The sequence below is a fragment of the Homo sapiens genome, chromosome 2, assembly GCF_000001405.40.
Source record: "Homo sapiens chromosome 2, GRCh38.p14 Primary Assembly".
Lineage (NCBI taxonomy): Eukaryota > Metazoa > Chordata > Mammalia > Primates > Hominidae > Homo > Homo sapiens.
The window spans coordinates 24,313,544-24,329,565 of NC_000002.12; the positions used below are offsets into that span (position 1 = coordinate 24,313,544).

The following is a 16,022-nucleotide window of genomic DNA, read 5'->3' on the forward strand; positions in this document are numbered from 1 at the left end:
ACCCAAGCAGCACATTAGTAAATGAAATTATTCCAATGCTTCTGAATAATAATGGGTATATGTTAATGATTTATTATAATTTTAATACCAATCATTAAAGAATAAGTGAAATAGAAACACATAAAAATTATTTACATAACTTTAATAAGACAGATATTTTAAAACAAAAGTCACATCTGCACTTCTATTGTATATTAATCAGTGATGAAAGATGATTCATCTCAGTTTTTCCACAATTGGGGTCTTCCTTAAAAATACTTCCACTTAGTAAAATTTATATTTAAAAACACTATTCCCTAAAAGAGTTTCAATATAAAAAGTACCAGGTGTTAGGAGAGAGAGTCCTCCATGAGTTTCTTCACACTCCTATGTGTCTTGCTCTGTATACCAATAATGTAAGACCCTAATTGCTCTCTGCCTGGGTCACTTCTCAGAATTGGGTTTGTAATGAGCAATCTTAACGAATCCGGTAACGTTTCCCACTGAGACAAGGGACAAACTTGCTTTACTGCTTGCTACAAAAGGGTGGGTTCCCCAAATTCAGTGTTCCTCTCCTGTAACACAATCATAGCATGTGTACTATTCTCCTGGGCTCTCTGCATTGTCTCTGTGGGACTTAGGGAACACTAAAGGAAACAGAAAGATAGATGCCAATGCTCATTTTGCTAGTTATGCTGTTAGTCATAAGGTTCTTTGTCTCTGACTCAGGAATCTTGGGTCTTCCACCCGTAATGGACAAAGTTATTAACCTGTAAGCAGGGTAATCAAATCCTGATACCAGGTAAGGTAATTACTATCATAGCAGTACAAATAACATGGTTAAGTAGATGGATTCCAAAATCAGCCCAAATGGTTTCAAAGCCCAGATTAACACTAACCATCTTTGTAACCTTAGGCAGTTACATAACGTCTCTTAGTCTCAGTTTCACTATTTGTAAATATAGACAACAACAGTGCCTACTTTACAGGGTTGTTGTAAAGGTTAAATAAAATAATGCACTTAGCATAGCATCTGGTATATAGTAAAAATTCAATAAATATCATTGTTCTCATAGTTACTATTATTGTATGTAAAGCACTAAGCTACTTTGGCACAGAAAAAAGTTTAATTAATAGAAAAAAATTTCAAAGGCACACCTAAATTAATCCCATTTTGGCTCTGGTGGTCTTTCTGCAAAACAAGGGCTAGCATCAACAATCAGTGCTTGGTGTAGCCTCAAAGACAGAGGGCTAGCATTAGGAAAACAGATTCCAGAAAAAAAAAGTCTAGATTTTCCATGAAATGAATCTAAGAAATAAACTGAAAACTTTCTAGATATAATGTTAAAATGTGAAACCAGACAATTACACAGAAATTCTTGACTATCATTTAGGATTCAGGAAAAATCTTCCATATCCCAAATTTAAAACAACAAATTAAGACAGTTCCAGGAAAAATAAAGTTAGCATTTCTTTAATTTCTAGAATTCTGATTGATATGAATTTTATCGTTTATTAACACAAATTTGATGGCAGTCAAATTAAAACTAATTCTTAGATATCACATAAGGACCATAATTCACTAATAAAACTAATTATAAATACAAACCTGTTATGTAACCTCCTGAAGGTTTGAGGTTATCAAACTGCCTGTCATGCTTAGTACGTTCTTCAGAGGTAATAGCCCACATGTTTGGCCCTCCTGAAACATAAGTGGAAGAAACTATAGTGTATACATGAGAATGCTTAAAATACAATTCTAAAATGTAAATAGAAATCACAAGTGTTCATTGTATGACAGTATTTAATATTTGAGTGACACAAAGAGTAGAGCTCTATCATAACCATACATAGCACAGCCCTAAGGCTTTTCACTCATTGGCTCAATTAACGTCTATTGAACAAGTGCTATATCACACTCACTGGAAATGGGCATCAAGCTAAATACTGGCAATAAAAAGATGAAGAAAATATTCCCACCCTCAAGGAATTCATGCTCTAGAAAACAACAGTACTTACAGTATTCACCTGTGAAAAATCCTAAGCAGAACTATATACTGCCATAGTTTAGCCCTGTGTCCCCACCAGAACCTCATTTCGAACTGTAATCCCCACGTGTCAGAGGAGGGGCCTGGTGGGAGATGACTGGATCATGGGAGTTGATTTCTCCCTTGTTGTTTTTGTGATAATGAGTGAGTTCCTCACAATAGCTGATGGTTTTAAAGTGTGGCACTTCCCCCCTTGCTGCTTCTCTCTCTCCTGCTGCCACGTTAAGATGTGCTTTGCATCCCCTTCGCCTTACACCTTAAGTTTCCTGAGGCCTCTCCAGCCATGTGGAACTGTGAGTCAATTAAACCCTTTTTTTCATAAATTACTCAGTCTCAGCTAGTTCTTTATAGCAGTGTGAAAACAGACTAATACAGATACCAAAACAGCTGTGCCAATTCTGAGTTAGAAGCACCAAGGATGAGATAACAGGAAAGGTAACACTGAGGCAGAGCCTTGAAGCTTGGTTTGAATTTTGCCACGTGAAGAGGAGGGATAAGAACATTTCACACCATAAGGGCACAGCATGAGAAGTCAAGGCATGTGCAAGGTGCTGTTAAGTGCACTGAGCAGACTAATAACTAGAGTTAGTAATAATAAACAGGTAGGGTGGAATTAACTGTAAAAAGGTCTTAAATACCATCCTCAAGAGCCTGACCCCATACCCTGGAAGTTATAGAGAGCCATCTAGTAGTTTTTATTATTTTATTATTTATTTATTTATTTATTTTGAGACAAAGTCTTGCTCTGTCACCAGGCTGGAGAGCAGCAGAGTGATCTCGGCTCACTGCAGCCTCCGCCTCCTGGGTTCAAGCAATTCTCCTGCCTCAGCCTCCCAAGTAGCTGGGACTACAGGCATGCGCCACCACACACCCGGCTAATTTTTGTATTATTAGTAGAGACAGGGTTTCACCATGTTGGCCAGGATGGTCTTGATCTCCTGACCTCATGATCCACCCACCTCGGCCTCCCAAAGTGCTGGGATTACAGGCGTAAGCCACCACGCCCAGACAGTTTTTAAATAAGCTTTTAATTTGGAATAATTTTAGATTTACAGAAAATTCACAAAGATAGTACATGGCTCCTATATACCTTTCACCCAATTTCTACTATGTTAACAACTGACACAACCATAGTACATTTGTCAAAACAAAGACATTAACAGTCTGGTATATAACTACTGGCTAAATTAATACCTCCACCTGCAGTGGTGGCTGGTAAACTCCAACAGAATTAAACTCTGGGTAGTGAAGACAGCACAAGGCACTGTGACTGATGATTCTGCCCATCGGAGCCTCTAGCAAAAGGAAGTAGCCTTCACCTAGAGATAATCCTTGGGATCAGAAAGCTTGACCCACGAAGGCCTAGTGATTCTCTAGCCTGATAGTCCCATTTTGGGGAGGGTCAACTTGAATTCCACAAGGTGGGAATAACCTGAAAAGCCTTGTTTGTCAAATAGAAATGGTATATCAAAGAAGATATAGACACTGGCCCCAACAGTATTTTGGCTTTACGTTAAAAAGTGGCAGTGGCCGGGCGCGGTGGCTCACGCCTGTAATCCCAGCACTTTGGGAGGCCGAGGCGGGCGGATCACCTGAGGTCAGGAGTTCAAGACCAACCTGGTCAACATGGCGAAACCTCATCTCTACTAAAAATACAAAACAAATTAGCTGGGTGTGATGGTGGGTGCCTGTAGTCCCAGCTACTCAGGAGGCTGAGGCAAGAGGATCATTTGAACCCGGGAGGTGGAGGTTGCAGTGAGCTGAGATCACGCCATAGCACTCCAGCCTGCGCCGACAAGGGCAAGACGCAATCTCAAAAAAAAAAAAAAAGCGGCAACTATCCCTCTGAGGGAAACCTTTATGCACATTCCACTGCTTATAGTAAAGCTACTGGATCAATGAAGGCTCAGATCAGAGAAGCTGCAAGTTGCTGGTGTTCACTGGGCTGCAGTGGCTATTCAGCCTCAGAGGCAGCTATGCTGAACTGAAAGGAGACATGGGCAGAACCTGGATTCTTGGGCTGCTGCCAATGACCCAGCTGTTTGGTTTGCCACTTGGAAAATTACAGATTGACAGATTAAAGACACCCTCCTGGGGCTACAAATTGAAAACAAATCTCAACTGCTAATTGAATTGTCTGTGTCACCTATGTAGACACCTACAGTATGGGCCCAGCCTCTGATTTAGACTGAAATCAAGTATGACTAATGTGCAGAGGATACCACTGCATGCCAAACTGTGACTTGGGGATGGTGGGGGAGGTCTCATTGCAGGTGGCATTGTTCCCTTTGACTCCTGGCAGACTGACTATATTGGACCTTTGTTCCCTCTCTCAGGCTATCAGTGGTGCCTCAAACTATTGACAGTATTTTTTTGTTTTTCACATAGACTTTTTAGAGCAGTTTTAGGTTCACGGCAAGATTGAGCAGAAGGTACAAACATTTCTCCTATACCTTCCACCCCACTGACACATAGTCCCTCCCATTAAAACATTCCCCTGTTGACACTTTTTTAGGTTACCAATCAGCCCACGATGCCCACACTGTCATGGCCCTTGAAACTAATCTGTGTCATGTTTCTTTTTTAAAAAATTTAGAGACAGGGTCTCACTCTGTTGCCCAGGCTGGAGTACAGAGTGACCCTTGGCTCACTGCAGCCTTGACATCCCAGGCTCAAGTGATTCTCCCACCTCAGCCGCCTGAGTAGCTGGGACTACAGGTACGTGCGACTACAGCTGGCTAATTTTTGTATTTTTTGTAGAGACGGGGTCTCACTATGCTGCCAAGGCTGGTCTCGAACTCCTGGGCTCAAGTGATCCTCCTGCCTTGACCTCCCATAATCTGTGTCATGTTTTTGGTTTTCTGGACCATATGCATTCTGACATGGATGCACTTTTATCATAAAAGCCATTCAACAATGCACTGACAGCCTGACTCTATTTCCATCACCTCCTCCTGGTCCACATACTTTAAAGTAAGATAGTGTGGTCACTGACTGTAGCTGTCTCCAGAAAGGATTCATTGCTTATTAGCTGCTTCCTCCCTAATGATCAGGGCTAAAGGGTGGGGTATCACAGGAGATATACAGACCTATTGTGAAAATTCAGGATTCTACTCTGACCACTCCTGGACATGATGCATCTTTCTAGCCCCTAACAGCAACTGTAGGCAGGCTTGGTTCATAAACCCTCCAGCTGGGCCACTGAGGTAAAAGGGGATCTAGAGCAGGAATTCCCAACCCCCAGGCCACGGACTGGCACTGGTCTGTGGCCTGTTAGGAACCTGGCCGCACAGAAGGTGAGCGGTGGGCAAGTGAGCACTACCACCTGAGCGGCACCTCCTGTCAGATCAGTGGCAGCATTAGATTCTCATAGGAGCACAAACCCTATTGTGAACTGTGTGTGTGAGGGATCTGGGTTGCATGCTCCTTATGAGAATCTAATGCCTGATGATCTGCAGTGGAGCAGTTTCATCCTAAAACCAACCCCCTCCCACCACCCTACCACAAATCTGTGGAAAAATTGTCTTCCATGAAACTGGTCCCTGGTGCCAAAAAGGTTGGGGACCAGTGATCTAGAGGATTCAAAGTTAATTCTGGTTAGGGTTTATGAAAATGTCCCTCTTACATCTAACTCTTCTGGATCACTAGGAAATGGTAAAGTTATGGCTCTGAAATGAGAAACCCAGGTTTAATGGCAGTAGAGCAACAAGAAGGCACCTGAGGAAGAAACGCCTTAGACCCCAGGAGGTATGGTATTAAGAGAGGAATTAATGATATTTTCTCTTGTAGAACTGCCCCTGTAGCCTTCTTCTGCAAGAAAAATGCCTTGGTATGGCTCTCCTAAATTGTTGGAAGCACCTTATGAGTCTGCCATCCCCCATCAGGAGCCTTATCAAGAGTCTATCAGGAACATCAGGAATGACCCCAGAAAATGTATCTCCTGTCCATATCACTTCCAGAGGTCTTCCCCCACCCCCAATCTCAGTAATGGATGAATTCCACCCAGCTGGTGGCGAGGACAAACAAAACAAGTGGGACTAATTTGGGCAATCCCTCCAAAAACAAGGACTAGACTCAATTACTCAAACTCCACTGGAAACCCTCAGACTTGCCAGTCATCCAGGAGGCTATGTTAGAGGCACTATCAACCTGTGCCCCTCTTCTGATGTAGGTCCCACGGCAGTAGGGGTTGCAGGGGGAATAACTGTAAACATTTTCTTTCCAAGCATAACCCATGCACACCCTTGATCTTCTACTTCTTCTGTGGAAACCATGCATTAACTTGCCTCCCTCCAAAAACACAGTAATGTACATGAAGAGATCTTCAAGTGTTTAAAAAAACACTTCCTCAGTCCTGGAAGGCATTCAGGTCAGCCTCAACTCACTGGCTAGGGTTGTCAGAGATTTATCCTAGATTTTCTTTTTTTGCAGGCTAAGATAAAGTGTGTGCAATTATGAATACACTCTGCTGTACCCAGATTACTGATTCAGGCCAGGTAGAAAAGTTAAAATAAAACTTAAGGAGAGGCCGGACATGGTGGTGCACACCTAATCCCAGTATTTTGGGAGGCTGAGGCAGGAGGATCCCTTGAGCTCAGGAGTTTGAGACCAGCCTGGGCAACATAGTGAGACCCCATCTCTACAAAAAAACTTAAAAAAATTAGCCAGGCTGGGCGCGGTGGCTCACGCCTGTAATCCCAGCACTTTGGGAGGCCGAGGAGGGTGGATCATGAGGTCAGGAGATCGAGACCATCCTGGCTAACAAGGTGAAACCCCGTCTCTACTAAAAATACAAAAAATTAGCCGGGCGCGGTGGCGGGCGCCTGTAGTCCCAGCTACTCGGGAGGCTGAGGCAGGAGAATGGCGTGAACCCAGGAAGCGGAGCTTGCAGTGAGCCGAGATTGCGCCACTGCAGTCCGCAGTCCGGCCTGGGCGACAGAGCGAGACTCCGTCTCAAAAAAAAAAAAAAAAAAAAAAAAAAAAAAAAAAAAAAAATTAGCCAGTGGTGGTGGCTCACACCTGTAATCCCAGCTACTTGGGAGGCTGAGGTAGAAGGATTGCTTGAGCCCAGGAGATCAAGGCTGCAGGGAGCACTGATCACACCACTGTCTGGGTTACAGAACAAGACCCTGTCTCAACAAAAAACAAACAACAACAACAACCACCAAAAAAAAAAAAAACAAAAAAACATTGTTTTTTAAGGAGAAAGCCACCTGGCTTTCTAAGGGAGACACTGATGATTTATAGGATTTGTTTAGCTGGGACCCTGCAGAGCACAGCTGAGAACACTGCAAGCTGAGACCAACCTGCTGCTTGGAGTCCTGTTGATTAGTCTTAATCAAATGCTGCATAAAATAAATCAGACTTAGTCCCAGCCCGTTTTGTCAGATTAATCGGAGTGGCCAACTTAGTGGTATGTACACTCATGAGAAAATTTGCTAGAAGTCAAGACAATGGAGAAACAAGGGAGAGGAACCCTTGGGAGACAATTCTCCATGAGTTTCTCATGTTTCTGTACATCTTCTAAAGCAAAGGATTGATAGCTTTTGTTCCAGACTATCTCTGAGGATGTCTGCATTGCAAATACAGGGGTTTCTTCCCGAGCTTGGGATTAGCTTTTTGTTGTCCGCCAGCTCTCTGAGGTTTTTGTAAAGCTCTGCACATTCAACATGACTAATCACCATCTATACTTCTGACTACCTTTACAATTTATTCCATTTCTGCCAATAAGGAATCAAATACGTTTAGGTATATAAACTCATACATAATTCCTGCTTGTATTGTATAAAAATCTGCCTTACAAAGACAATTTTCCAGGAACGTATATCATTGAAAAGTAGGTGCTCACTGTAATTTTTAACACTAATATGGATTTAACAAATTATTCTTAGTCCTAAATGACTGGATTAAAAAATCTATAAATATCCTCTCTTAAAGAGAAGTTTTAAGATTATAGTTAAAAATAAAGAAACAGATGTACTGAAGAACTAAGGACCTAAAATAGCTAAACCTACACACTTTCTAAATAAAGAAATACCACATATGTAGTAAAAATCCTACTTGGGTTATCAGTTTATCAGAAAATAAATAAATAAACCTGTCAGGATTCCTGTCACTAGGAAGGCAAGTAGTATAGCCACAGAACTGATTTTCTATTATATGACTTCAGAAAAATTATGATGCTGATTTTAAAAACAACAAAAATGACAACAACAAAGGATGACAAAGATGGAAGCAGCTCACCTTTATTGAACCCTGACTATTGTCAGGGACTTTATATGCAGCAACTCACTGAGCCCCCAGCATTAACCTATAAATTAAAGTACTATTATTATTCTCATTTTATAGGTAAGGAAACTGAAAACCCATGGTAATAAAGTAACTTGCTCAAGGTCATACAGTAAGTGACAGAGCTGAGATTAGAACCTGGGTAGCCTGACTCCAAAGCCTCCATATTGAACTCAGCACTAACTATGTACCAACATATATGGGTAAGATGCTCATGTTCCTTCTAATTCAGATGCCACCTCTATAAACTAGGAATATTATATAACTCCACAGGCCTGTTGTAAAGATTACATGTAATATACCTCCATTATAGCTAACACTTAATGAAACTCACCCTGTGTCAGGTACTTTTCTAAGAGCTTTACATGTATTGCTTCAAGTAAGTCTCATAAGAATCCCATGAGGTAACTATTGCTATCACTGTTTATCAGAGAAGGAAACAGTGGTACAGAGATATTAAATAATTTGCCCAAGGTAATAAAATTGGTAAGTGTTGAAGGCAAGACTAGCGTCTACTCAGGCTTAATTAAGAGTCTTAAACTATCTGTCTTGTTGGTAATTAAACATAAATACACTCACAAATATATTGTCCATTGATTTCCAACAACATGTGGAGATAATTCAAGGTGGAAAACAGTCCTTTCATCAAATGGTGCTGAAAGAACTGGATATCCATATGAAAAAACAACAAAAGAACCTCAACCTTCCAGCATATACATGAATTAACTCTCAATGAATCACAGAACTAGATATAAGATAAAACTTCCTGAAGAAAATATGGAAGAAAATGTTTGTGATTTTGGATTATGCAATGACTTTTTGGAACACAAAAGGCAAAAATCATTAAAATATTTTGACAAACTGGACTTTATAAAAATCTAAAATTTCCACTCTCTTAAAGGACACTCTTAAGAAAAGGAAAAGACAAACTACAGGCTGAGAGAAAACATTTGCAAAACATATTCAATAAATATAGGTCAGCATATATACAGAACTATTCAACTCAAAAATTAGAAAATAATCCCCCCCCTCAAAAAAAAGGAACAAAAGATTTGAACAGACACATCAAAGATATACAGATGGCAAATAAGCACGTGACAAGATGCTCAATATCACTATCATCAGGGAAATGTAAATTAAAATCACAAAAAGGTATCACTGCATGTCTATTAGCATGTCTGAAAATTAAAAAAAAAAACAACACGGAGTGCTGATAAAGATGCCAAACAACCGCAACTCATATATGCTGGTGGGAAAGCAAATGTGACAGTCACTTTGGAAAACAGTTTGGGAATTTCTTATGAAGTTAAATATATATTTCCACATGACCCAACAATAGACTGAGTATTAACAAAAGACTCTTGGGTAAATACCCAAGAGAAACGAAGACCTATTTCCACATAAAAACCTGTTCTCTGATGGTTATAGCAGATTTAGTCATAATCACTAAAACCTGGAAATAACCCAAATGTTCTGCACCTGAACGGCTGAATGGATAAATAAATTGTGGTACACATTTATACAATGGACTACTATTCAGCAGTAAACAGGAGAAATGCATGCAACATTATGACTGAATCACAAAGATATTTTGCTAAGTCACAGAAGCCAGACACCAAAGGCTACATATTGTGTATTCCATTTATATGACATTCTGGAAAAGGCAGAACTGTAAGGACAGAAATCTGATTAGTGGTTGCCAATAATACATGGCTAAAGGTGGAGGTATAAGGGTACAGAGAACTTTTTAGGTGATGCAAATGTTTTATATCCTAATTTATATGACTATATATAGTTTTAGAAACTCATCGAACCGTATACTTTAAAAGGGTGAATTATACCCCCAATAAACCCAACTTTAAAATAAACTAAAACAAAAATATAAAGCATCTAATACATGCCTGCCATATTAGGAGTCCTCAATAAATTAGTTTCCTTATTCAACCCAATCCCAGGGAACAATATAATTAAAAAGAAGTCAGAGCATTCAAATCTTTCTCAGGGAATAGCCTGAAACTAAGGCTCTTTAGTTAGAAACCTTAAGACTATTTTAAGTCTGAAGAGTTTGGTTAAGAAGGCTTAAAAGCTGCTCGGCCAGGCATGGTGGCTCACACCTGTAATCCCAGCACTTTGGGAGGCCAAGGCGGGTGGATCACGAGGTCAGGAGATGGAGACCATCCTGGCTAACGTGGTGAAACCCCATCTCTACTAAAAATACAAAAACTTAGCTAGGCGTGGTGGTGAGCGCCTGTAGTCCCAGCTACTCGGGAGGCTGAGGCAGGAGAACGGCGTGAACCCAGTAGGCGGAGCTTGCAGTGAGCAGAGATCATGCCACTGCACTCCAGCCTGGGAGACAGAGCGAGACTCCGTCTCAAAAAAATTAAATTAAATTAAATTAAATTAAATTTTTTTTAAAAAGCTGCTCTAACATACATGGGTATATATACCCCCGGGCAGTGATGGACTCTACTGCTATCCTAAGACAAAAGAGAGTTCTGCTGCATCAAGATTGATGCACCAATGCTCATCACAGTATGATGCTTTCTTATATATATTACTATCTCCTGACATTTCCTTGGCTATGTGTTTTCACAGGGGCTAAACTCAACCCATCTGTTTGTTTACTGCTTAGTTCCTCATGTCTCCAATCAGTAATCTTGACACCTTCATATTCATTCATTCAGTAAATGTTTATGGGGTACAAAGATGAATAAAATGAACCACTTGCCTGGGCACAGCCCAGCACTTCAGAAGGCTAGGGCAGGAGGATCACTTGAGCCCAGGAGTTGAGACCAGCCTGGTCAACATAGTGAGACCCCTATCTCTAAAAAAAAAATTCTTTTAAGTAGCTGGTCTTGGTGGCACATGTCTGTAGTCCCAGTTACTCTGGAGGCTGAGGCAGAAGGAATTGCTTGAGCCTGGAGGTTGAGATTGCAGTGAGCAATGTTCATGCCACTGTACTCCAGGCTGGGTTGACAGAGTAAGACCCTGTCTCAAAAAAAAAAAAAAAAAAAAAAAAAATGAACACCTTAAAAGAACTCACAGACTCTAATATTTTAAAGAGACTCTACCAGCCAAGAAAATCACACACAACAATCACGGTTACATATTATCATGATTAATGTAACCAAGAGAATAAAAATGTTCTAAGGCATTTTAACAAGGAATAATTTTTAAGTAGTGTTCAAATAACCTTTTAAAAAATTAATCATATTAAAACATAAAGTATTAATGCACCAAGAATTTTCTAGGAACAAAAAGATAACACTGGTCAGGTGTGATGGCTCATGCCTGTAATCCAAGCACTTTGGGAGGCTAAGGTGGAGGACTTCTTGAGCCCAAGAGTTCAAGACCAGCTTGGACAAGATAGTGAGACCCCCATGTCTACAAAAAATCTAAAAATTAGCTGGGTGTGGTGGCTCACACCTGTGGTCCCAGCTACTCAGGAAGCAGAGGCAGGAGGATTGCTTGAATCTAGCAAGTCGAGGCTGCAGTGAGCTGTGTTCATACCACTACACTCCAACCTGGGCAACAGAGTGGAGACCCTGTCTCAAAAAACAAAACACTGCAATAAGAAAACTGGGCAATACGTGTAATTCAAAGCCAATTTTAAAATAGTTAATTCAGTCCTGGCTTTCTTATTTAAATATATCAACTAACAGAACCCTTTGAAAAGGCAAAAGTTTGTTACTTTGAACTTCAAGTAAAAATCTCCCAATCTTAGTCTATATTTATCTGTAAGCCTTATCGAAGAGGCAGAAAAATCTAAGTTTAGGGGTTGATGTCTAATATTTCCCTAAAAAGCTAACAAACTTTTACAATATGTAATAATCGTGTTAGAAATACATTAAAATTCTATCCGCTTCCCCTAACTCATCACTGATATTGAAAATATGGGATTTTCATAAACATTTCTGTTGCTTATTCTCATCTCACTTGCTGGCTCTTTCAAACAAGTTCTTATAGTCAGTGAAGAAAAAAATTTTCACATTTACAGAACATCTACTATAGGCTAGATCTCATTCAGTAAGTAGTCTCATCTCGGTTTTTACACACACACGTATATACATACACACACACACATACACACACACATACACATTCACACACAGGCATACTTACAGACAAGTCCCAATAGCAATGGGCATCAAAACAATTTAACAATCTATGTCAGGATTACTAGAGGAGCAAAGTTTTGTACTATACATGAATGCTGCTCTCAGTAACATCTTAAACCCTGAATTGAACTTAAATTAGATATGTCTAAGTTATCGTCAATCTTCTAAGTAGGAAGGTACCACAGTCTACATATGCAATTAATTCTTCAGAAGTTTAAAAAAAATTACTATCTGTATGCCTATATAGCACTTCTAAATGCATTTTCCAACATTTTAGATGATTATTCACATAATCATTCTTTTGTTATTGAATAGTCCATTTGTTCTCAATGTTATATTTTATATATAATGCAATGAACTGCAAAGTAGATATATAAATGTTTATGGAATGGAAGAAGCAGAATAAAGAAGGACCGGGACTGTACTGCTTTATGTTCATTTTGCTTATAAAACTGATTAACATGTTGGCTGAAGTTTACAATTCAACTGTTTAATGCAAATTCCTTTGTATGGGGCATAAAAATCCTCAAACTTGAGTAGAGCATGTTACTACTACAATCACTGCCCTAATTTTAAACTTACATGTATCACTCATTATGGAAAAATTATTTAATTATTAAAAATTGTCTGTGGCATCAATGTTTATAATCCCACACCATTTTCCCAATAGGAGCAATACTCACATTAATCCTTAAATAATAGGTTCTGAAAAGGTAAAACACGAAACAACAAAATCTTTACTTCAAGTCTATCCTTAAATGACACATGACCTCACCACACAGAATTTGATTTTACTTTTTATACAAATAATTCACTTCTCCAAGATTTTCCTAAATCCTGAGACATAAAACTTTAGATATACAACATGTATTTTCGTTATTAACAATGTAATGATTTGGTCCTATGTCTGAAAACAAGTTTAAAAAACAACTGATTAACACTAGACGGTAATATCAAAACAGAATTGCTTTGTGAAGATGGTAGAATGGTGATTCTTCCCTCCTTTTTTTAAATGCTCTTTAATATTACTGTTTTCAATTTAAATAATAAAGAATTATTGAGTTTATTCTCTATTTCCTGATATTTATCTACAATTAGCTAATACAATTTAACATAAAATTAAGAATTCAGAATCTAGATTTCTTTAGCGATTTAAAAATATAATGCATGTTTTTCAATTAATTATAAATGACAAACACAGTAACTTAATACCTACTAAGGGTAGTTAATTAGTATTTGGGAAAAGAATTAAAGCTACAATCAGAACAAAACTTTAAAAACTTTTCATTATTCAAATTACCTAAGCATTTTCTTTTTCTTTTTCTTTTTCTTTTTTTTTTAAATGGAGTCTCACTCTTTCCCAGGCTGGAGTGTAGTGGCCCTATCTCGGTACACTGCAACCACCACCTCCCGGGTAGTTCAAGTGATTCTCCTGCCTCAACCTCCCAAGCAGCTGGGATTACAGGTGCCCATGACCACACTCGGCTAGTTTTTGTATTTTTAGTAGAGATTGGGTTTCACCATGTTGACCAGGCTGGTCTCGAACTCCTGACCTCAAGTGATCTCCCTCCTCAGCCTCACAAAGTGCTGTAATTACAGGCATGAGCCACCACACCCGGCCAGCACTTTCTTTTAAAATGTTTGATATTAAACAATTATGTATGCAGGCATACATAATCTTATCTAAAGGGAAAACATAATCTTACATAAATATTACTAAATTAATCTTTATTGGCTTCATCGGTTTACAATCATGTTATGTTATCAAAATACCTTTAATAGTCACCTTATAGCACTCTGCTATTTGTCATCCAGTTTTATGCATCAAACACAATATACCTTTTGGTTATTCCTAACTGCTCAATGGCAAACACACGTTCCAGAATATAGTCATGGGATTTACAACATAATATTCTTACAGAAGACATATGCAGTGTTCCAAAATATTTTCCAAGAATACTTCAAGTTTTGTATTTATACACTTAAGGAAAATTATCTACATGAATATTTTAAACCTCTACCAAAAAAAAAAAAAATCCATAACCTCATCTTGCCACAAGCACAAAGCTGCTTACCATTCATAGCTGTGGGAAACTGAGCCATCATGGTCCTGAGTTTTCCTTGCTAGCTCTCAGCCATCTGCAACATAAAAATATTGTGCCGTTGATAATACAACAAGGGCAAATCACAGTTTAGTGCACCCGCTAAGCAGTAGGAATGTCTGTCCCCTTCAGCTCACACTTCCAACAGAAAACAATGCAGAGCTTCTGCTGCTGCTGAACAGGCAGAATTTACATTTGAGGAAGGGTAAGAGATTTTGTTGGGTAATCGTGCTGCCTTAATACAGAAAAACAGTCACATATTTAATAGTAGATACTGAATAAAGAAACCCTTGGCATGAACCAACATTCTTGTAGAAATTAATTTGGAAGAGAAAAAAATAAATCAACTGTATAAATTAAGTATATAAGAATAACATGGAAATCCATACTTTTTTTTTTTTTTAAATAGAGTCTCACTCTGTCACCCAGGCTGGAGTGCAGTGGTGCAATCTCAGCTCACTGCAACCTCTGCCTCCTGGGTTCAAGCAATTCTCATACCTTGGCCACCTGAGTAGCTGGGACTACAGGAATGCTCCACCACACCTGGCTAATTTTTGTGTTTTTAGTAGGGACAGGGTTTTGCCATGTTGACCAGAATGGTCTCAAATTCCTGGCCTCAAGTGACCTGCCCACGTCAGCCTCCCAAAGTGCTGAGATTACAGGCGTTAGCCACTGCACCCAGCCCATAGTATCATTTTTTAAAAACTCCCAAACAAGAAAAATATTCAAAATAAATGTAGCGCAGCTGTTTAAATGAGCTCAAGGGGTTTATAAAATAGTCTAAAAGTAATTATTAAAACACACAAAATTATTAAAATACATATATAACATAACTAAATGTGCTGGGCAAGCACTCTAAGAGAAGGGACTTTGGAAATTCACAGCTCTGGGTTCAAACCCAGCTCTGCTATTCTCCCAGCTGTGACCATGGAAAAGTTATTTAACCTTTTTTGAGACTCAGATTACTCATCTATAAAAAATACTTTGCAGAAGTATTTTTTAAAGTGTTAAACATAATCCAGTAAACTGCCTGCCACATAGGGTGTTCAACAAATGGCTGCTATTTTGCAAACAACCAGAAAAGGAGAGTGCAGTATCATTTTGAACCCTGAATTCATTATTCAGCTGTCAATAAATTCAAAAATTGTTCCATGAATCTTTTTGTGGGTCTGTTTTTTTTTTTGTTTGTTTTGTTTTCTTGAGACGGAGTCTCGCTCTGTCGCCCAGGCTGGAGTGCAGTGGCGCAGTCTTGGCTCACTGCAACCTCACCTCCCGGGTTCAAGCGATTCTCCAGCCTCAGCCTCCTGAGTAGCTGGGTCTACAGGCGCACATCACCATGCCCGGCTAATTTTTGTTTGTTTGTTTGTTTGTTTTAGTAGAGACGAGGTTTTACCATGTTGGCCAGGCTAGTCTTGAACTCCTGAGCTCAAGTGATTTGCTTCCCTCAGCCACCCAAAGTGCTGGGATTACAGGCCACTGTGTCCTGC

General features: G+C 39.3%; 1 protein-coding gene across 27 annotated transcripts in view, besides 1 other annotated feature; it reads right to left on the minus strand.

The window, feature by feature from the left end:
- ITSN2 (intersectin 2) overlaps window positions 1-16,022 on the minus strand; it is a 158,505-nt gene that overhangs the window by 110,680 nt on the left and 31,803 nt on the right. For 20 of the 27 annotated variants that reach the window (XM_047444586.1, XM_047444582.1, NM_001348182.2 and 17 more), the window contains exons 2-3: window positions 14,509-14,572; window positions 1,589-1,681 (exon numbers count right to left, since the gene is read on the minus strand). In XM_047444586.1, the coding sequence (XP_047300542.1) occupies window positions 1,589-1,681; window positions 14,509-14,539 (124 nt within the window). In that variant the 5' untranslated portion in view covers window positions 14,540-14,572. Of the gene's footprint in view, window positions 1-1,588; window positions 1,682-8,270; window positions 8,338-8,894; window positions 14,684-16,022 lie in introns of those variants that run through there. The other 7 variants (NM_001348181.2, XM_047444584.1, NM_001348184.2 and 4 more) reach the window with 4 other exon arrangements.
- Window positions 2,559-2,608: an enhancer, noted in NCBI's record as "active region_15430". NCBI's record gives its function as "activates an Ori minimal core promoter by ATAC-STARR-seq in GM12878 lymphoblastoid cells {active_cell/tissue: GM12878}" and the evidence as "EXISTENCE:reporter gene assay evidence [ECO:0000049][PMID:35858748]".